Below are 22,785 nucleotides of genomic sequence, written 5' to 3' on the forward strand. Positions count from 1 at the left end.
CCACAGTAGAACTTCTTTCAAAATGGGAGTCAATCCTCGCCAGCTCTGCCAGTGTGTTATCAACTAGGTTTATGTAATATTTTAAACGCTTGTTGTCATTTCCATATTGCTCATAGCATCTTCACCAGGAGTAGATTTCACCTCAAGAAGCACTTTTTTTTCCTCTTTTGAGACAGGGTCTCGCTCTGTCACCCAGGCTGGAGTGCAGTGTCATGATCATGGCTCATGCCACCTGGGCTCAAGTGATTCTCCCAACTCAGCCTCTCTAGCAGCTGGGACTATAAACATGTGCCACCATGACTGGCTTTTTTTTTTTTCTTTTCTTTTTTTTTTTTTTTTTGTAGAGATGGGGTCTCACTGTGTTGCCCAGGGTGATCTTGAACTCCTGGGCTCAAGTGATCTTCCTGCCTCAGCCTCCCAAAGTGCTGGGACTACAGGTGTGAGCCACCACGCCTGGCCAAGAAACCACTTTTCTTTGCTCATCCATAAGAAGCAACTACTCATCCATTCAAATTTTACTATGAGATTATAGCAATTCAGCCACATCTTCAGGATTCACTTCTAATTCCAGTTCTCTTGCTATTTCCATAACATCTTTTTTTTTTTTTCCCTTTGAAAAAAATTAACTGGGCGTGGTGGTCCCAGCTACTCAGGAGGCGGAGGTGGGAGGATCCCCTGAGAGCAGGAGGTTGAGGCTGCAGTGAGCCGTGATTGTGCCACTGCACTCCAGCCTGGGTAACAGAGTGAGACTCTGTCTCAAACAAACAAACAAACAAATAAATAAATACATAAATAAAGAGCTGTGTGGCTCTTCCTTTCACTTGGACACTTAGAGGTGGATAAGGGAAACCTCGGATAAAGGGGACTACTGTATTTTCCAACTTGCTTTTTACACATAATATATTGTGAACATCTCTCTCTCTCTCTCTCTCTCTCTCTCTCTCTCTCTCTCTATATATATATATATATATATATACACACACATCCCTCATTATTTTTTTTCTTCTGCAGTGACTTGGAACCCATTTTTTAATTGAAAATTTTATTGAGATATTTATAAGAAATAATAGAGATTCCTTGTACACTTTGCCTAGTTTCTCCCAATGGCAACATTTTGCAAATATCACAACCAGGATATTGACATTGATATGATTCACCAATCTTTATTCAGGTTTCCCCAGTTTGCCTCATTCTTTTCTTTTTCTTTTTTCTTTTATTTTTTGTAGAAATGAGGTCTCACTATGTTGCTGAGGCCAGTCTCAATCTCCTGGCATCAAGTGATCCTTTGGCCTCAGCCTCCCAAAGTGCTGGGATTATAGGCGTGAGCCAGCACATCCAGCCCTCATTCTTTTAAAACATCCTATGGATAGACATTTAATTTTCCAATTTTTTGCTTTAACAATGTTTGAGTCTCCTGGACTCTATTGAGTTCCACTTAATCTTTTTCTTTCTGGACCACTATAATATTAATTACTATGCATTTAATTGTATCTGGTGGGTCAAATTACTTTTTTTTTTTTTTGAGACGGGGTCTTGCTCTGTCACCCAAGCTGGAGTGCAGTGGTGTGATCTCAGCTCACTGCAGCCTCCGACTCCCGGGTTCAAGTGATTCTCCTGCCTCAGCCTCCCAAGTAACTGAGATTACAAGTGCCTGCCACCACACCCAGATAATTTTTGTATTTTCAGTAGAGACAGGTTTCACCATATTGGCCAGGCTGGTCTCGAACTCCTGACCTCAGGTGATCCGCCTGCCTTGGCTTTCCAAAGTGCTGGGATTACAGGTGTGAGCCACCGCGCCTGGCCAAAATTAACTTATTATTCATCCTTTAAGTGTTTTATTTGGCTACTGAGGTAGACTGCTAGTCCCCAGTGATCCCCAACTCCTGGTATTTATGCTTTTGTATAAGTCCCTCCTCTTGTGTGTGGGCTGGGCCCGATGATATAACAAATGGAATACAGTAAAGGTGATGGAGCTATTACTTGCAAGACTAGGTTACAAAAGACCATGACTTCTGTCTTGCTGGTATGCTCTTGCTTTCTTTTGCTTGCTTCAAGGTGATGAACTTCAATACCCTGATGAAACCAGCTGCTGTGTTGTTGTGAGCTCCCCTGTGGAGAAGCCAACATGTCAAGGAACTGAGACCCTCAGTCCAACAGTCCACAAGGTACTTTATACCCTGCTAACAACCACAAAGTGAATGTGGAAGTAGATCTTGCTCCAGTTGAACCTTGACATGAATTCAGTCCTGGCCAACACTTTGACTGCAACCTTGTGAGAAACCCTGAACTGTAAGACTATCTAAGCAGTGCCTGGATTCCTGATCCATGGAAACAGTGAGGTCAATGCATGGTTTTGGTTTAACTTTTGATTTTGAAATAACTGTAAATTCACAGACAAATGTAAATAAGTAGTATGGAGATCCCAATACTTTTCACCGAGCTTCCCCAAATGGTAACATCTTGCATAGCTATAGTACATTATTGGTCCCTGTTTTCAATTCATTTGAATATATACCTAGGCGTGGAATTACGGAGTCATATTGTAATTCTATGTTTGACTTTTTGAGGAGCTGCCAAGCTGTCTTCCACAGTGACTGCATTATTTTCCACTCCCACCAGCAATGTATAAGGGCTCTGATTTCCTCACAATCCCACCAACACTTGCTGCTTTCTATGTGTGCACGTGCAGGCGTATGTTTTATAATAGCCTTCCTAATGAGTGTGAAGTGGCATCTCATTGTGGTTTAGATTTGCATTTTTCTCATGACTAGTGATGTTGAGCATCTTTTCATGTGCTTATTGGTCATTTGTATATTCTCTTTGGAGAAGTGTCTGTTCAAATCCTTTGTTCATTTTTAGATTTGGTTGTTTGTTGTTGTTGTCGAGTTGTAGGAATTATTTATATATTCTGGATATTAATGCCTTATCAGATATATGATTTGCAAATATTTCTTCAATCCTATAGGTTGCCTTTTTACTCTGTTGCTATTGTTGTTTAATGCACAAAATTTTTAATTTTGATGAAGTTCAATTGACTTAGTTTTCTTTTGTTACCTGTACTTTTGAGTCATATCCAAGAACTCATTGCCAAATCCAAGGTCATTAATATTTCCCCCTACGTTTTTTCTTTTTATTTATTTATTATTTATTTATTTATTTATTTTTGAGACAGAATCTTGCGTTGTCACCCAGGCTGGAGTGCAGTCGTGTAATCTCTGCTCACTGCACCCTCCACCTCCTGGGTTCAAGCGATTCTCGTGCCTCAGCCTCTCGTGTAGCTGGGTGGCGTGATCATGGCTCGCTGCAGCTTTGACCTTTCGGGCTCAGGTGATTCTCCCACCTCAGCCTGCTGAGTGGCTGAAACTACAGGCATCCCGCTAATTTTTTGATTTTCTGTAGAGGCGCGAAATCTATGTTTCTATGTTGCCCAGGCTGGCCTGGAACTCCTGGGCTCAAAAGATCCCTTCTGCCTCGGCCTCCCAAAGTGCTGGGATTATAGGCATGAGCCACTGTGCTCTGCCTAAAATTATTTTTTTTAATTTGTTTTAGACACAGGATCTTGCTCTGTCACCCACGCTGGGGTGCAGTGGCCTGGTCATAGCTCACTGCAGCACCAACTCCTGGGCTCAAGCAATCCTCCCACCCCAGTCCCAGTAGCTGGGACTACAGGTGCACACCACCACGCCTGGCTATCTTTTTTTTTTTTTTTTTCTGTAGAGACAGGGGTCTCACCATGTTTCCCAGGCAGGTCTCTCAAGAGACCCTCCTGCCTTAGCCTTCCAAAGTGCTGGGATTACCGGCGTGAGCCATCAAGCTTGGCTGGAAATTTTTGATTACTGGTTCAGTCTCTTTACTTGCTGTAAGTCTAGTCAGATTTCCTATTTTTCTTGACTCGGTTTTGGTAGTTTGTGTTTCTAGGAATTTGGTCATTTTATCTAGGTTATCCAATAATTATAGTCTCTTATAATCCTTCTTATTTCTGTAACGTTGGTAGTAATGTTTCCTCTTTCATTTCTGATTTTAGTAATTTGAGCCTTTTTTTCTTAGTCAATCTAGTTAAAGTTCTGTCAATTTTGTTGATCTTGGAATCTCTGTATTATTAGTCTACTTTCTATTTTTGTTTATCTCCTCTCTAATCTTTATTATTTTCTTCTTGGGTTTAGTTTGCTCTTCTTGGTGGTATAATTTTCTTCATAATTACTGTACTTGGAGTATGTTGTGATTCTTGGACCTGTGTTTATGGTATTCATCACATTTGGAAAAATTTCAGCCTTTTTTTTTTTTATCCACCCCTCTTCCTTCAGGGACTCCCATCACATGTATAGAAGGCTGCTTGGGATTGCCCCCCAGCTCATTGATGATCTGTTCTTTCTTTCCGTCTTTTTTTCTCTATGCTTCATTCCAATAGTTTCTATTATTATGCCTTCAAGTTCACTAATCTTTTTTTCTGTAGTACCTAATTTGCTGTTAGTCCCATCTAATGTATGTATTTTTTTTTTTTTTTTTTTTTTTGAGACGGAGTTTCGCTCTTGTCACCTAGGCTGGAGTGCAGTGGCGCGACCTTGGCTCACTGCAAGCTCTGCCTACTGGGTTCAAACGATTCTCCTGCCTTGGCCTCCCGAGTAGCTGGGATTACAGGTGCCCACCACCACACCCAGCTAATTTTTGTATTTTTAGTAGAGACCAGTTTCACCATCTTGGCCAGGCTGGTCTGAAACTCCTGACCTCTGGTGATCCAACTGCCTTGGCCTCCCAAAGTGCTGGAATTACAGGCGTGAGCCACCGCACCTGGCCTCATCTAAAATATTTTTTAAAAACTTAGACATTGCCTTTTTTATCTCTAGAAGTTTATCTTTTTAAATATCTCCTGTATCTCTACTTAACATGCTCAATTTTTCCTCCACCATCTGGAATGTGGTTATAATAACCATTTATTATCCTTGTCTATTAACTTTATCACCTATGTCATCTCTGGTCAGTTCCTATTGATTTTTCTCCTCATGGTGGATTACATTTTCCTGCTTCTTTGCTTGCCTGTTAATTTTCTATTGGAGGCCAGACATTAAAAATTTTACCTTGTTAGGTGCTGGGTATTTCTGTACTACTGTAAATATGTGTAAGCTTTGTTCTGGGAAGTTAAGTTATTTGGAAACAGTTTGACCTTTTTAAATGCTTGCTTTTAAGCTCTTGTTTGTTTAGTTGATTTTTAAGCCAGGATCAAAAAGTAGCCTTTTAATCTAGGACTAGATTTGTTGCTCTACTGGGGAAGTATTCTACCCAGTGTTTTATGAAGTTTTCCCACCCACAATCAGGCTGGTGGGAACACAAACTATTCTGGTCCCTGTGTGATCTTTGAGTATTTTTCTCTCTAATCCCTTCAGGTGGTTCTTCCCTTAGCTTTAGGTGGTTTCTTTTTTTTTTTTTTTTTTTTTTGAGACGGAGTCTCAGTCTTTTGCCCAGGGTGGAGTGCAGTGGCATGATCTCGGCTCACTGCAACCTCCACCTCCCGGGTTCAAGCGATTCTCCTGCCTTGGCCTCCCGAGTAGCTGGGACTACAGTTGTGCGCCACCACACCCAGATCATTTTTGTATTTTTTAGTAGAGATGGGGTTTCACCATATTGGCCAGGCTGGTCTCGAACTCCTGACCTCATGATCCACCCACCTCAGCCTCCCAAAGTGCTGGTAGGTAGTTTCTTTGTGGGCATGCACTGACCAATCCCCAGCTGAAGACTTAAGAGACATCCTCTGCAGATCTCCAGAGCTTTCTCTCTGTGCAGCTATCTTTTCTCCAGTTTTCTGTCCAGTGAACTTTAGCTACCTTGGCCTCCTAGTCTTCCAAGTCTTTCTTCTTAGCTCAGAGAGACTGCTAGGCTCTGCCTATGTTCCTCCTCTCTGCACTGTGGCCTAGAAACTTTCTCCAGGCAGTATGCTAGGGCACTCATACGACTCATCTTGTGCTGGACACGGTGGCTCACACCTGTAATCCCAGCACTTTGGGAGGCCGAGGCAGGTGGATCACCTGAGGTCAGGAGTTCGAGACCAGCCTGGCCAACATGGTGAAACCCTATCTCTACTAAAAATACAAAAATTAGCCAGGCATGGTTGTGCACGCCTGTGATCCTAGCTACTCAGGAGGCTGAGGCAGGAGAATCGCTTGAACCTGGGAGATGGAGGTTGCAGTGAGCCGAGATCGCACCACTGCACTCCAGCCTGAGCAACAGAGCAAGACTCTGTCTGAAAAAAAAAAAAAAACACACACAAAAAATTCATCTAGTTTGTTTCTCTCCTTTCTTTTGTCACTATCATATGCCGCCTGATGTCCAGTGTCTGGAAACCATTGTTTTATATAGTCTGTCCCTTTTGTTGCTATTGTTTTAGGCAGTAGGGTGAATTACTCAATCTTGGCCAAATGTAGAAGTCCCTCTGCCTCTTTGTGATACTGGGGTTTAAGATGTCAGAGGTCAGGTTTTTCTGGTCAGTGAGAGTGTGGCCCTGAGAGAGGGGGCTGAAATGGAATAGAAAATAAAGTTCCTGGAGTGAAGGCAGAATAAGAAATGTAAGGCTAGGCTGGGCGCGGTGGCTCATGCCTGTAATCCTGGCACTTTGGGAGACCGAGGCAGGCGGATCACCCGAGACTGAGAGTTCGAGACCAGCCTGACCAACATGGAGAAACCCCGTCTCTACTGAAAATACAAAATTAGCTGGGCATGGTGGCACATGCCTGTAATCCCAGCTACTTGGGAGGGTGAGGCAGGAGAGTCGCTTGAACCAAGGAGGAGGAGGTTGCGGTGAGCTGAGATCACACCATTGCACTCCAGACTGGGCAACAAGAATGAAACTCCGTTTCAAAAAAAAAAAAAAAATGTAAGCCTAAATTGTTAAGTGAGTCATTCATGGGGATGCTCAACAGGCAAACTAAGTGGGAACAGAGCTGGTATTACAGACAGAGGGATGAGGATGGCAAAGGGCCTGGAGGAATAAATTAGCAGTAGCATCAGAGAATTACAAAATATTTCTTATAGCTGGAATATAAAGTACGTAAGAAGCTGCTATGGTTTGAATGCGTCCCTTCTAAAATTCAGTTGTTGCCTTTATGATAATATCAAGAGATGGGTCTTTTAAGAGGTGATTAGGCCATGAAGGCCTCTCCCTCATGAACAGGATTAAGGCCTTCAGAAAGGAGAAAAGAGGCTTTTTAAAAACTCTTTTCCCTCCTCCTCCACCCCCTCCACTTTCCCCTCCTACTTGTTCCAAAAATAAATAAATAAATAAAAATTTGCCCATAAAAGTTTCTGGATGGGAAAAAAAGAGGCTTCACAGAGCATTCAGTTTGCTTGCCCTGCCACCTCTGTCTTGTGAGGACACAGAATTATTTTCCTTCAGAGGAGGCAGCCCTCACCAACAAACTAACATGCTGGCTCCTTGATCTTGGACTTCCCAGCCTTCAGAACTGTAAGAATACAAATTCCTGTTCTTTAAAAATTACCCAATTTCAGGTATTCCGTTATAGCAGCACAAAACAAAGACAGAAATCATGTCAGGAAATGAAATAGACAGGTGACTATATTTGAAGGATCCTGTCTGTTATACTAAGGAATTGGATTTTTTTTTTTTTGAGACGGAGTCTCTCTCTGTCGCCCAGGCTGGAGTGCAGTGGCGCGATCTCGGCTCACTGCAAGCTCCGCCTCCCGGGTTCATGCCATTCTCCCGCTTCAGCCTCCCAAGGAATTGAATATTTTCTTAAAGGCAGTTGAGAAAGTCAAGAAATTGACAAATTATACTACAAAGCTATGGTAACCAAAACTACATAGTACTGGCATTAAAAACAGACACATAGACCAATGGAACAGAATAGAGAACCCAGAAACAAATCCATGCATCTACAACGAACTTCATTTTCTCTTTTTTTTTTTTTTTGAGACAGAGTCTCACTCTTTCACCAGGCTGGAATGCAGTGGCACGATCTCAGTTCACTGCAACCTCTGCCTCCCGGGTTCAAGTGATTCTCCTGCCTCAGCCTGCCGAGTAGCTGGGAATACAGGCATGTGCCACCATTTTTGTATTTTTAGTAGAGATGGGGTTTCGCCATGTTCGCCAGGCTGGTCTCGATCCCCTGAACTCAAGTGATCTGCCTGCCTCGGCCTCCCAAAGGACTGGGATTATAGGCGTGAGCCACCAAGCTGGGTTTTTTTGTTGTTGTTGTTGTTGTTGTTGTTTTTTTTTTTTTTTTTTTTTTTTTAGATTAGTCAAGTGAAGCAGTGAGAGTGGAGAAGGAACAAAGAAATCTGTAGCTGGTTGTGATCAATTAGTTGTAAACACCACTGCACTCCGATCAGCCAGCCCATCTTTTTCATAGGCAGAATGCGACAGAAGAAGCCTGGAGCAGGCTGTGGGGAAGCGGGAGCCTCGGGAGAGAGCCCAATCCAGTTAAGGCAGGAGGTAGAAGGGAAAGTTCAGTGAAGAAAGCCAGGATGTACGGGAGTTTGTTTCTCACTGAGCAGGGGTTCCAGTGGTTATAGTGGAAAGGGCTCCAAGAAAAGCAAACAGTGGGAAAAACAGGTTCAGGTGTGTGTGGAGGAAAGGGAAGCATCTGGGGCTCTGACATTAGTTCTGACCTCTTTTCCAATCTTGTGAAGGTGGCAGCACCTCCTGTATTGTCATTATTTCTTTAACGGCATTCTTTTTAAACTGTTTAATTCAAACCTATATTTGTAGTTTCTAAAATGTTGATAACAGACCATTTTGTTGTTACACATGTCTGCCAACGAAAACAAAAGGCAAAGAGAATCACTCCCATCCCTATAAAAGGAATGGCTCCTTTTCTAACATTCTTTTTTTTTTTTTTTTTTTGAGATGGAGTCTCGCTCTGTCGCCCAGGCTGGAGTGCAGTGGCGCGACCTTGGCTCACTGCAAGCTCCACCTCCCAGGTTCATGCCATTCTCCTGCCTCAGCCTCCCGAATAGCTGGGACTACAGGCGCCCGCCACCACGCCCAGCTAATTTTTTTTTTGAATTTTTAGTAGAGACGGGGTTTCACCGTGTTAGCCAGGATGGTCTCGATCTCCTGACCTCGTGATCCGACCGCCTCGGCCTCCCAAAGTGCTGGGATTACAGGCGTGAGCCACCGCGCCCGGCCTCTAACAACATTCTTTAAAAATATACATTTTACACTTCCTGCACCTCAGCAAAGGTGGCAATGTAATCAACACACTGGCTTATTTTGTTCTCCTCACTATTAGACGCATGTCCCCAAACTACCTGTTATAAGCCCTGTTTTTTTTCTGGACTTCTCAAGGGCTTTGCCCATCGTTCTTTCCCCGGCATCTGGAACAGTACCACTTGCGCTTTGGTTTATGGTTGAGACTCACACACGAGAAGCGGAACCACTCGATGGGGCATTCGTTGTCGCAGCGGATCATCTCCCAGTAGGAGGGCTCGCTGGGGTCGATGGGGAGGTCTGCGGGGGACGCCTGCCGCTACGCCTTGGCCATGGAGCTCTGCTTCTTCTTAGAGGTCTGGGCTTTCTTCTCCTTGGGCGTGCCCGAGGTGACGTCGTCGTGGTCGCGGTTGCTGGACGCGTTCTCACGGTTCTAGTTGTTGCGCTGCCGCCGAGAACGCTTTGCTGTTGGACTTCTCCGCCTGCGCGTCCGCCTCGCCCCTGGGCCTGTCCGGGCCGACCTTGCCGCCGTCGCGCTGCGTCGCCCTGCTCCTGCTGCGGGTGGAACGGCTCCACGTGGCTGTCTACCTGCCGCGTGAGGCTCTCCACCAGCTCCACCCTCTGGCTCTTGATCTGGATCTTCTGATCGCCCGGCTCCTAGCTGCGGATCAGGGCCCGCTGGGCGCAGGGTGGCACCCGCGGCTTCTGCGCGCAGTCCGTGTCGCGGCGGACCTTCTCATAGCACTTGTCCAGGTCCTTCAGGGTCTCCTCCAGGAAAGTCTCCGTGCCGCAAGCCCGGCTAACTCACGCCTCCCCAGCCATGTGCGGCCGCACCCTCCGGTCTGCAGAGGTGTGGCATGTGACGGTCTGCGAGCCGGTGTCGCGGGACGCCGGGGCGGGGCGGGCCGCCCAAGCTGCAGCCCAGGCCCCCAGCCCCCAGCCCTAGCCTCGGCCCGGCCTCCGGCATTGCTCCGCGGCTGGAAGCGCAATGCCCTTCTCACTGTGCTCCACTGCAAGTATTTTTACTTTCATTTTAACTTTTTTTTTTTTTTTGACAGAGTCTCACTCTGTAGCCTAGGCTGGAGTGCAGTGGCGCGATCTTGGCTCACCACAACCTCCGCCTCCCGGGTTCAAGCGATTCTCCTGCCTCAGCCTCCCAAATAGCTGGGACAATAGGCGCGCCATGCCCGGCTAATTTTTTGTATTTTTAGTAGAGACAGGGTTTCACTATATTGGCCAGGCTGGTCTCGAACTCCTGACCTCGTGATCCGCCCGCCTCGGACTTCCAAAGTGCTAGGATTACAGGCGTGAGCTAACTCTTACTTTGTTTTCTGCTTAAAACTCACGTGATCTGATTGGCATGTCTCCAAGCAAACACGCTCTAGCCCTTATGAAATGTGCTCTCTGTAGCTAAAACCTTGTTACAATGTCTTAAGTCATGGCCCAAAAGGCCAGATTGTTTTCTCAGACACTGTCAAATAGCTCTGCATTCACTGCTGTTGTATCTTTCCTGCTCTTCCAGAATCTCTGCTTTCAGTTGGAAGAAGTAGAAATGTCGCAAGGTTTTCAGCTTTTGCCCAGGCGTTGTTCTGTAGAAGCGCTTTGCTGGTTACTTGTGGAAGTGCTTTTCAACCCTGTGTAAGGCACTAGAGGTCAGAAAGTTTGGTAAATTCTGTGACATACTCCAGATTCATAGTTAAGAAAAACAGCACCTCCACCGGGAGCAGTGGCTCATGCCTGTAATCCTAACACTTTAGGAGGCAGAGGTGGGAGGATCTCTGGAAACTAGGAGCTGGAGACCAGCCTGGGCAACACAGGGAGACCTCCACCTCCACCCCCATCTCTGCAAAAAATTTTAAACATTAGTTAGGCTTGGTGATTCTCCCCTGTAGTCCCAGCTATTTGAGAGCCCAGGAATTTGAGGCCTCAGTAAGCTACAATTGTGCCACTGCACTCCAGCCTGGGTGACAAAGCAAGACCCTGTCTCAAAACAAACAAATTTTAGCATTATATGCCCACCGTTTTGCACCTTGCTTCTTCCACTTGAGGCAAGCTTGTCCAATCCGCAGACCGTGGGCCTCAGGCGGTACAGGACTGCTTTGAATGCGTCTCAACACAAATTTGTAAACTTTCTTAAAACATTATGAGATTTTTGGGCCCAGCGTCGTGGCTCATGCCTGCAATCCCAGCACTTTGGGAGGCCAAGGCAGGCAGATCACCTGAGGTTAGGAGATCGAGACCAGCCTGGCAAACATGGTGAAACCCCATCTCTACTAAAATACAAAAAATTAGCCGGGCGTGGTGGCACACACCTGTAGTCCTAGCTACTTGGAAGGCTGAGGCAGAAGAATCGCTTGAACCTGGGAGGCAGAGGTTGCAGTGAGCCGAGATTGTGCCACTGCACTCCAGCCTGGGCAACAGAGTGAGACTCTGTCTCAAAATAAATAAATAAATAAATAAATAAATAGTTTTTTTGGCAATTTAAAAAAATATAGCTAGCTCATCAGCTACTGTCAGTGTATTTTATGTGTGGCCCAAGACAATTCTTCTTCCAGTGTGGCCCAGGGAAGCCAAAAGATTGGACATCCCTGAAAGGGTATATCCTGGAAGTATATCTTTCCAAGTGAGTCTACTATATAGAGCTACTCATTGTTTTTGTGACTGCATAGTATTGTGTCCAGAGTTGGTTCCTGCCGGTGGGTTCTTGGTCTCACCAACTTCAAGAATGAAGCCGCGGACTTTCACGGTGAGTGTTACAGCTCTTAAAGGTGGCATGGGCCCAAACAGTGAGCAGCAGCAAGATTTATTGTGAAGAGTGAAAGAACAAAGCTTCCACTGCATGGAAGGGGACCTGAGCGGGTTACTGCCGCTGGCTGGGGTGGCCAGCTTTTATTCCCTTATTTGGCCCTGCCCACGTCCTGCTGATTGGTCCATTTTACAGAGTGCTGATTGGTCCATTTTACACAGTGCTGATTGGTGCATTTACAATCCTTTAGCTACACACAGAGCACTGATTGGTGCATTTACAATCCTCTAGCTAGACAGAAAAGTTCTCCAAGTCCCCACTCGACCCAGGGAGTCCAGCTGGCTTCACCTCTCAATCCCCACTCTAAACAGGACACCCCAACTGCTGTTGGGAATTGGGCAATGACCGCTCTAACTACTTCCTGCTGGATAGAGGCAAAGAAGGGGCCCTGCAGTTGTAGTGTCCTCTTTAGTGAACTCTTTAGGCCAAAGGGCCAGCAGGTTGGTCCAGGGGTCCTCGGTAGAAGTTGTTAGTTGAACTCATTTGGGATTCCATTTGTAAGACCATCTGTAGCTTGATGGCCTCGATCCTAGAGGAAACAAATTTGACAAGGAGGTTAAAAATACAGGCCCCTAAGGAGAGTAATAGCAAGATGGCTGTCATGGGACCTAGAAAGGGGAGAAGCCATGTCGCCCAATTCCAGAGGTTGGTATAAGAGTTTGAAAGGCATTGTCTGATTTCAAAAGCCTTTTCCCGTAAACGCCAGGCAGCATCTCATACTATCCCTGACTGGTTAGTGTAAAAACAACACTCTTCCCCTAAGAAGGTGCAGAGTCCTCCTTTCTCAGCAGTGAGGAGGTCTAGGCCTCGACAGTTTTGGAGAGTCACTGCTGCCAAAGAGTCTATTTGGGATTGTAGGGTAAGGATAGATTCTGTTATTTCTTGTAAGCTGTCTGAGAAATCCTTTGAGAGTGTGTGGTAGTAGGATAATGAAGTAGATAATGAAGTACAGCTATTCCAGTTCCTGTAGCAGTGGCCATTTCTAACCCTATAAGTAGGAGTATTGGTTGTATGGCCCTGTGCTGATGGACTTGAGCTTTGAGGGGCACTGATAGGGTCTGATTTCCATAAGATTAGAAGTTAGGATAATACATGTTACACTGTTAACTTTCAGCAAACTTTACTTTTGTTGAAAACCTTGTAAGTTTGGGATTTTAATTTTTCTTTGCTATTAATAAAACCTCGTTCAGTCCATATTAACTTAGAATTGGTATAGATGGCTCCTTCCTGATTCTGTAAGTACTTTAAGGTTTGGCTGAGTGCAAACAGCTCACATGTTTGAGCAGACCAATTACTGGGCAATTTTCCTAATTCTGCTTCTACAAGAGTTTCTTTATCTCTCACTGAATACCCATTGTGTCTTTTTCCCTTAAACACCCAGGAGGAACCATCTATTGTCCTGTCCTGAAGGGAGTTCCTCCTAGATCTGGTCGGACCTTTGTGTGGTAATTAATTAAGATTCCCTGTTAGGAAACCTGCTGGGTTAAGGATTTTTGATAGGAAGGCTACGGGTTGTCAGTGGCCTCAGTGCTTTCGGGCTACACTCTTGTTTACACTGACAGTAAGGTGGTATTGGAGTGTTGTAGGGTCATGGAGAAGACCTTCAATGATCAATTATAGGTTTTAAATTTACCCTGGCTTTTAAAGGAATAGGGTACACCGTTTTTTCTTTACTACTTCTCTCTCTTTCTCTCTTTCTTTCTCTTTGACTTTCTGTCTCTTTCTCTCTCTTTGACTCTTTCTTTGTCTCTGTCTCTTCCTCTCTCTCTCTTTGACTGCCTCTTTGTCTGTCTCTTCCTCTGCCTGCCTCTCTCTTTGACTCCTTCTTTGTCGGTCTCTTCCTCTCTTTCCTTCTCTCTTTGACTTTCTGTCTCTCTCTCTCTTCCTCTCTCTGACTTGCTCTTTGTCTCTCTGTCTCTTCCTCTCTCTCTTTCTTTCTCGCTCTCTTTCTCTCTGACTTTCTGTCTCTTTCTCTCTTTCTCTTTGACTTGCTGTCTCTCTTTCTTTCTCTGTCTCTCTCTTTCTGTCTCTCCCCCCCAACCCTTTGACTTTCGCTTCAGCAGTGTAAGACTGCCACCTCCTTGGGTTTTTGCACTGTGTGCAATAACTCCATGATTTCCTTGTGATATTTAATGGGGGTTCCTTCAGAGGTTAGGAACTCCCTTTCTTTCCATATTGCAGCATGGGAATGTAGGATTAGATAAGCATACTTGCTATCTGTATACACATTTATTCTTTTTCCCTTTCCCAGTTCTAAGGCTCGGGTAAGTGCCACTAGTTCTGCTAACTGGGTGCTGGTCCCTGGGGGAAGAGGCTTACTTTCAAGTACTGTTAACATCACTAACTATGGCATAACCTGCCTTTCATATCCCATTCTCCACAAATGAACTTCCATCGGTATATAGGTTAAGGTCAGGATTAGCTAAGGGGACTTCTAAGAGATCCTCTCGGGTGGCATAAGTCTGGACTATAATTTATTGGCAGTCATGCTCGATTAGTTCTCCATCCTCTGGGAGAAAAGTGGCAGGGTTTAGGGCCACACATGTGAGTATTTGAAGCACCGGTCCCTCAAGAAGTAGCACCTGGTATCTGAGCAGGTGGTTGTCTGACAGCCATAAACTTCCTTTGGCACCTAGTATGCCATTTACATCATGAGTAATCCAGATGGTGAGATCCTTTCCTTGTATTATTTTGATAGCCTCTGACACTAAGATGGCCACCACCGCTACTACCCATAAACAGTGAGGCCAGCCTTTTGCTACTATATCAATTTCCTTACTTACGTATGCCACTGGTTGTGGGGTTGTCCCACGAGTTTGAGTAAGGACTCCAAGAGCTATTCCTGCTCTCTCTGTGACGTATAAAGAGAAGTTTTGTCCTGTGGGAAGGCTTAAGGATGGAGCTTCTACTAGGGCCTGCTTTAAGGTTTTGAAGGCTGTTTCTGCCTCTGGTTCCCATTCTACTAGATGAGTATTTGCCTTCTGGGTCTCCTTGATTAGAGTATAGAGTGGTCTGGCCATCTCGCTGTATCCAGGGATCCATAGTCAGCAAAAGCCAGTGATTCCAAGGAACCCCACAACTGTTTTAATGTCCTAGGGTGAGGATAAGCCAGTATAGGCTGTATTCATTCCTTGCTGATGGCCCTGGTTCCTCTGGCTAAGATTAGGCCTAGATATTTGACTTGTTGTAGGCAGAGCTGGGCCTTCGATTTAGAGACCTTGTACCCTTGATTAGCTAGAAAGTTCAAGAGATCTAGAGTAGCCTGCTGGCATGACGCTTCCGAACTGGTAGCCAAAAGTAAATCATCCACATACTGAAGGACCAGAGTGCCTGGACTTGAGAAGTGGCCTAGACCTTGCGCCAGTGCCTGACCAAACAGATAAGGTCTATCCCTAAACCCTTGGGGCAAGACCGTCACATAAGTTGGGATGTGTGGTCTGTGGGATCCTCAAAGGCAAAGAGAAACTGGAAGTCAGAATGCAGGGGAATACAGAAGAAGGCATCCTTGAGGTCCAGAACCATGAACCATTCTGCTTCCTCTGGTATTTGAGAGAGCAGGGTATAGGGGTTGGGTACAACTGGATATAGAGGAATTACTGCCTCATTGATGAATCTAAGATCTTGCACTAGTCTCTACTGACCATTCAGCTTTTGTACTCCTAGAATTGGGGTGTTGCAGGGACTGCTGCATTTTCTTACTAAGCCTTAAGCTTTTAAATGTCTAACAATATCCTGTAATCCTTTATGAGATACAGGCCTTAAGGGATATTGCCTTTGATAAGGAAAAGTGGTGGGGTCTTTTAGCCTGATTTGGACTGGGTGGGCATTTTTTGCCCTTCCGAATTGTCCTTCCGATGCCCAGACTTCAGGGTTGATTCTCTCCTCAAGCAGGGGACAACAAATGGATAACTTGTTCCCCATATTCATGTAGATAATACCTCCAGCTTTGGCTAATATGTCCCTCCCTAATAAGGGTGTGGGACTTTCAGGCATAATGAGAAAGGAGTGTGAAAAGAGCAAAGTCTCCCAATTACAACTGAGGAGGTGGGAGAAATACCTGGTTACAGGCTGTCCCAGGATACCTCGGATGGTAATGGACCTTGAGGACAGCTGTCTGGGACAGGAGATTAATACTGAGAAAGCCACGCCAGTGTCCAGGAGGAAGTCAATTTCCTGGCCCTCAATAGTTAAACATACCCGGGGCTCAGTGAGGGTGATGACATGAGCTGGCGTTTGCCCCAGGCACCCTCAGTCCTTTTGCTGGATCATCTGGTTGGGGGCTTCTGGCCCAGAGAAACTTTGCACCTTCCAGTGATTGGCTAGGCATAGTGGACATGGGCGAGGGGGCAGCTTGTTTCTCGTTGGACAATCTTTTTTAAAGTGTCCTTGTACACCACACTGATAACAAGCCCTACCGGGTGATTGGCCTGCTCCATTTTCTGTCCTCTGAACCACCCAGGTTTGTTTGTCTGAGGGCCATGACTAAGGCTGTGGCCTTTCTCCGATCTTGCTTTTCCTTTTCGGCCTGTTCCTCTTGGTCCCTATTATAGAACACCAAGGTTGCCAGGTTTAATAATGCCTCCAGATTTTGTTCAGGGCCCAGGGCTCACTTTTGGAGCTTTCTCCTGATATCTGCAGCTGATTGGGTAATAAACTTATCTTTTAGGATCAATTGACCCTCGAGGGAGTCAGGTGACAGGGGAGTATATTTTCTTAAGGCCTCCCATAGCCACTCAAGGAAGGCAGAAGGATTTTCTTCCTTTCCCTGAGTTATGGTGGAAATCATTGAATAATTCATGGGCTTTTTCCTAATTCTCTTTAGTCCTTCTAGAACGCAGGTCAGCATATGTTTATGACTCCAGTCCCCATGATCTGAGTCTAGGTCCCAGTGGGGATCCATACTGGGGACGGCTTGCTGACTGGTAGGGAATTTGTCCCTTTCTTCGGCTGTCATTCTATCATTCACTTGACTAAGATACCAGGTATCTCCAAGCTCTCGGGCTGCAGCTAAAGCCACATTCTTTTCATTAAAGGCCAGGGTTTGATCTAACAATAGCATGACATCTCTCCAAGTGAGATCGAAGGTTTGCCCTAGACCCTGTAGGACATCTATATACCTATCAGGATCATCTGAAAACTTCCCCAGGTCTGCCTTGATCTGCTTTAAATCAGAGAGGGAGAAGGGGATATGTACCCGGGTTGGGCAAAATTCCCCTCCTCCTACAGCTTGAAGGGGACATAACCGATAGCCCGGGGGTTTTTGTGGTCCCTTGGAGATCTCTTTTCTTGTTTCCTTCTGGGTGGGGGAGATTAGAGGAGGCTTATCATTAATAGGAAGGGGAGCTGTAGGAAGGCTAGGATATGGAGGTAAGCTGAGAGGTCCTCCTGTGGGATGTAAATTGCAAGCTTTGCATAGTTGTGAATTCTCCTTCGATGAAAAGAAAGCTTGGACATAAGGTATTTCACTCCATTTGCCTTCCCTCTTACAGAAAAGGTCAAGCTGCAGGATAGTATTGTAATTTATACTTCCCTCAGGTGGCCATTTTTCCCCATCAGAGAGAGAATATTGGGGCCAGGCCGTAGTGCAGAAAAAAATAAGCCACTTCTTTTTCAGGGTTTGTGGGTCAAATTGGTCTCAATGGCTTAGGATGCATTTCAAGGGTGAGCCTGTTGATGCCTGAGTGTTTCCTATCTGAAAGAAAAAACCACCCATGGTTTTGGTTTGTTTGCTCCCCACCCCCACCCCGCCCCCACCCCCCGCTGGCCCAAGAACCCGCAACGGCCCCTGGACCCTGCTGATTGGAATAGTTGTGCTCACCAACGCAGCAGCAGAAACCTTAGTTTTCCTCTTAGACCACAAAGAGGACCGACGAAGGTCGGATTTAGTGGACCTTACCGACGCATTCTCAAAAACCTATTAGAGTCCTAAGCATCCTCCTGTTAGTATTGGGACCTTACCCCTGTCCTATAAAGATGTTATGCCCCAAAAGGCTGGGCGCGGTGGCTCATGCCTCTAATCCCAGCACTTTGGGAGGCTGAGGTGGGTGGATCACCTGAGGTCAGGAGTTCGAGATCAGCCTGGCCAACATGGTGAAACCCTGTCTCTACTAAAAAATACAAAAAATTGCCAGATGTGGTGGCAGGCGCCTTAATCCCAGCTACTTGGGAGGCAGAGGCAGGAGAATCGTTTGAACCCAGGAGGCACAGGTTGCAGTGAGCCGAGATCGAGCCATTGCACTCAAGCCTGGGGGACAAGAACGAGACTTCTCTCAAAAAAAAAAAAAAAAAAGATGTTATGCCCCAAAAATGAAGTGGAGGGCCATACCCTGAGGGAGGGAAGGGATCTCCAGGGTTGGAAGAGTGATGCCTTTTGTCCTCACTTCTCATCATATGAATAGGAAGGATATCATTTCTGAGGCTCCCCATATCCTAGCTTCAGGAATAGCTTTTGTTAGGCCTGCTAGTCTGAGGAGGGACCCTAAAATTCCAGATAGTGTCCCCCCACTGACAGGGCTTTAGGCAAAAAATATGTCTTTCTGATTGCTGAGCCCGGGTGCCTAAAGAAGGGAACAGAGTCCTGAAGTTTATACTAGAAATCATTCTTATAGGAGAAACTAGAAAAGCACCAGAGACAGGGAGTGGTTTTTAAAAGCAGGACGAGCCTCGGAGAAGAGAGGCAGGAGGAAGTTTGTCTGATAGGCCTTAGGACCCAGGAGGCAAGAGTCAGGATAGATAGGATAGATGGGCGAGTCTTGCTTGGGCGACATGACTTTGAGAGTTCCGCTCATGGCTACAGGGTCAACCAACTTTTTGTCGGGACCCTGGAGCTGAATGGCTTTCCTCTCTGTCGACCCTCGGCTCAGCCTGCAAGTACAGGAAAAGCGGAAGCTGGTTCCAGTAAAACTGACTCTCACAACTCTGAAGAGTTGGGGGTTGTTACAGAGCCCTTTCCCAGAAAGCCTGACACCCATGTCTTTAGTCCAGCAGCTGCACTATTCGCTTTTAACTGGCCAACAGGTGCCTGGTAGTTAGCCCCTGAATTCTAAGGAAAAATAGGACAGAATAGCAAGTGAAAGGGGTCCAGTGGTACTCACTGCTTGACAATAGTCCCATCTGGGTCGCCAGGATGTGTCCGGAGTTGGTTCCTTCTGGTGGGTTCTTGGTCTCGCTGACTTCAAGAATGAAGCCATGGACCTTTGCGGTGTTACAGCTCTTAAAGGTAGCACGGACCCAAAGAGTAAGCAGCAGCAAGATTTATTGTGAAGAGTGAAAGAACAAAGCTTCCACAGTGTGGAAGGGGACCTGAGCAGGTTGCTGCTACTGGCTGGGGTGGCCAGCTTTTATCCCCTTATTTGTCCCTGCCCACGTCCTGCTGATTGGTCCATTTTACAGAGTGCTGATTGGTGCATTTACAGTCCTTTAGCTAGACACACAGTGCTGATTGGTGCATTTTTACAGAGTGCTGATTGGCGCATTTACAATCCTTTAGCTAGACACAGAGCGCTGATTGGTGCGTTTTTACAGAGTGCTGATTGGTGCATTTACAATCCTTTAGCGAGACACAGAGTGCTGACTGGTGCATTTACAATCCTTTAGCTAGACACAGAGTGCTGATTGGTGCACTTTACAGAGTGCTGATTGGTGCATTTACAGTCCTTTAGCTGGACAGAAAAGTTCTCCAAGTCCACACTTGACCCAGGAAGTCCAGCTGGCTTCACCTCTCAGTATGATACTGCTAGTTGTACCACCGCTTATTGAATCAATGTCATACTGGTGGACTTTTACATTACTTTTAATTTTTTGCTGTTGCAGACTGTTTCAGTAAATATTTTTGTATATGTATCATTTAAAATATATACTTATAGTCCTGGTGTGGTGGCTTATGCCTGTAATCCCAGCACTTTGGGAGGCTGAGGCAGGCAGATCTCCTGCGGCCAGGAGTTCAAGACCAGCCTGGCCAATATGGCAAAACCCTGTCTCTACAAGAAGTACAAAAATTAGCCAGACATGGTGGCACATGCCTGTAGTTCCAGCTACCTGGGAGGCTGAGGCAGGAGAATCGCTTGAACCCAGAAGGCAGAGGTTGCAGTGAGCCAAGATCGCACCACTGCACTCCAGCCTAGCAACGGAGTGAGACTCCGTCTCAAAAAAGAAAAAAAAAAGAAAAACAAAAACAAAAAACAAACAAACAAAAAACCAGGCCAGGCGCTGTGACACACCTGTAATCCCAGCACTTTTGGAGGCTGAGGCAGGTGGATCACCTGAGGTCAGAAGTTTGAGACCAGCCTGGCCAACATGGCGAAACGCTGTTTCTACTAAAAATACAAAAATTAGCCGGGTGTGGTGGTGTGTGCCTGTAATCCCAGCTACTCAGGAGGTTGAGGCAGGAGAATTGCTTGAATCTGGGAAGCAGTAGTTGCAGCGAGCCAAGATCCCGACACTACACTCCAGCTGGGGTGACAGAGTGAGACTGTCTCAAAAAAAAAATATATATATATATATATGTGTATATATATATATATATATATATGTGTGTGTATATATATATATATGTGTATATATATATATATACACACACATTTACTTATAGAATATATAGAATAAATTCATAGGCTATATGTAGAATGAATAAATATAGAATACATTCCTTGAGGTAGAATTTCTAGATCAATGAATATGGCACTATCACTTTTGATTGGCCATGAGGAAGCTCTATCCAGTGATCTCTTGAACACTGTGGCTGTGAGCCATCCCCTTCCTCAGAGTCTCTGCTGTTGCTATCAAGGGCAACTGTTTCACTTGCAGAATCCTCCCTCTTGTTTTCTGGAGTATGTGATAAAACATCTTGTCTAGTGGATTTGTATAAATCCTTCACGGAGAATGCTTTGTATATGTGGTGTAATGTGGCTGGTTCAACTTTTTTTTTTCACAATCTTTTACTTGTCATCATAATCCTCTGCTGACTTTCTGGCATCTTCCTTCTTTTCCTCTGTTTCCTTCTCTTCCCTCCTCCTCCTCCACTACCACCAGACTTCATATAATTTCACCCATTAAAAGGACACTTTTTTTTCCTTTTCTTTTTCTTCTCCTCCTCCTCTTCATTTCAACTCCACTAGGCTACAGTTCCCAGTTATTCAATCAAATGAATCTAGGTGTTGCTGTACAGGTATTTTGTAGACGTGATTGAAGTCCACAGCCATTTGACTTTAAATAAGGGAGATTATCCTTGATAATCTGGGTGAGTCTGATTCAATCTGTTGAAAGGCCTTAAGACCAGAGCTGAAGTTTCCCAGATGGAGAAGAAATTCTCCCTGTGAACAGCAGCTTTAGCATGTGCCTGAGTGTTCCAGCCTGCCCTTCTTGATGGCCCACCCTACGGATTTCAGACTCGGATTTCACCCTACAGATTTCACCCCCTACAACGGTGTTAGCCCATTTCTTGCAATGAATCTCTTCATATATATCTTCTACTTGTTCTGTTTCTCTGATTGAACCCTGACTGATACATCCTTCAAGGTATTTCCTCCATCCAGTCTGGGAACTCATTTCATTGATAAGACAAGCATAGGGAGGCACTCCTCAGACCTTTTTATCTGGCCCTCAAGGGGAAAACCAATTTCAGTGAATAATTACAGAGAACTGTCATTGCCTCTGATAGAAAAGAAAACATTCTGCAGGGGCCCAGGAAGAGTTCCCCAATGTCAGGAGCCATGTGCCATGGTAGTCAAGTGGAACCACCCTATTGTTGCTTAATTAGTTGGCTGATGTCAAAATGCTGTTAACTGCATAAAAAAGAGAGTAGGCCAGGCACATTGGCTCATGCCTGCAGTCCCAACTACTAATACTCGGGAGGCTGAGGTGGGAGGCTTCAGCCCAGGAATTCAAGGTTGCAGTGAGCTGTGATTGAGCCACTGCACTCCAGCCTGGGTGACAGAATGAGACCCTGTCTCAAAAAAAAAAAAAAAAAAAAAAAAAAAAAAAAGAAAAGAAAAAAGAAAAAAAGTAAAAATGATTGAGCATAAAAATGAAGGTGGGCAAAGTCTAAAATATCTATGAGGCTGGGCACGGTGGCTCATGCCTGTAATCCCAGCATTCTGGGAGGCCGAGACAGGTGGATCGCTTGAGCTCAGGAGTTTGAGACCAGCCTGGGCAACATAATGAAACCCCATCTCTACCAAAAATACAAAAAATTAGTTGGGCATGGTGGCTTGTGCCTGTGGTCCCAACTACTTGGGAGGCTGAGATGGGAGGACTGCTTGATCCTGGGGGGCTGAGGTTGCAGTGAGCTGTGATCATGCCACTGCACACCAGCCTGGGCAACAGAGCGAGACCCCATATCAAAAAAATATATATGTATATATAATATATGAGTCCATATTGATATAAATAAGTGATTAAATAAATAGATAAATAAATGGGGGAGAATAGACAAATCTTTAATGCAGAAGGATTCCAAGTAATTTATGTAGATATTTTGCCCTCAAGGAGGAGGAGCATTACTCTCTATTCCTTAAGCATGGGCTGGGCTGCAAACAGTGACTTCCTTCCAAAAAGTACGGTGTGGAAAGGGGTGAGAAGAGTAAAAGCAGTGGAGAAACCTCACAAACACTACCTCAGCCAGATGATGAAGATCAACATCAACAGTGGAAAGTCATGTTGATAGTATGTATCCTATGATGTGATGAAAACGGTACCTTACCTCTGTGGTCTTCCTCTCCCAAATGCATACTCCAGTTTAATCATGAGAAAAACATCAGAAAAATCTCAATTGAGGGATATTCTTCAAAATTCCTGGCCAGTGCTCCTCAGAACTATCAAGGTC

The 22,785-nt window shown here is 45.3% G+C and overlaps 1 protein-coding gene and 1 pseudogene across 11 annotated transcripts in view, besides 1 other annotated feature; one reads left to right on the top strand and one right to left on the bottom strand.

The window, feature by feature from the left end:
• TAF1 (TATA-box binding protein associated factor 1) overlaps positions 1-22,785 on the top strand; it is a 164,169-nt gene that overhangs the window by 116,472 nt on the left and 24,912 nt on the right. The window contains exon 1 of one of the 10 annotated variants that reach the window (NR_104396.2): positions 9,622-10,169. The exons of the other annotated variants lie outside the window; for them this stretch is intronic. The gene's annotated coding sequence lies outside the window, so the exon portion shown is untranslated. Of the gene's footprint in view, positions 1-9,621; positions 10,170-22,785 lie in introns of those variants that run through there. 10 annotated transcript variants of the gene reach the window in all.
• INGX (inhibitor of growth family, X-linked (pseudogene)) lies at positions 8,853-9,621 on the bottom strand (annotated as a pseudogene). Its single transcript, NR_002226.3, has one exon. The product of NR_002226.3 is annotated as an inhibitor of growth family, X-linked (pseudogene) (transcript).
• Positions 10,021-10,090: a silencer, noted in NCBI's record as "silent region_20898". NCBI's record gives its function as "represses an Ori minimal core promoter by ATAC-STARR-seq in GM12878 lymphoblastoid cells {active_cell/tissue: GM12878}" and the evidence as "EXISTENCE:reporter gene assay evidence [ECO:0000049][PMID:35858748]".

Source organism: Homo sapiens, chromosome X, assembly GCF_000001405.40.
Source record: "Homo sapiens chromosome X, GRCh38.p14 Primary Assembly".
Taxonomy (NCBI): domain Eukaryota; kingdom Metazoa; phylum Chordata; class Mammalia; order Primates; family Hominidae; genus Homo; species Homo sapiens.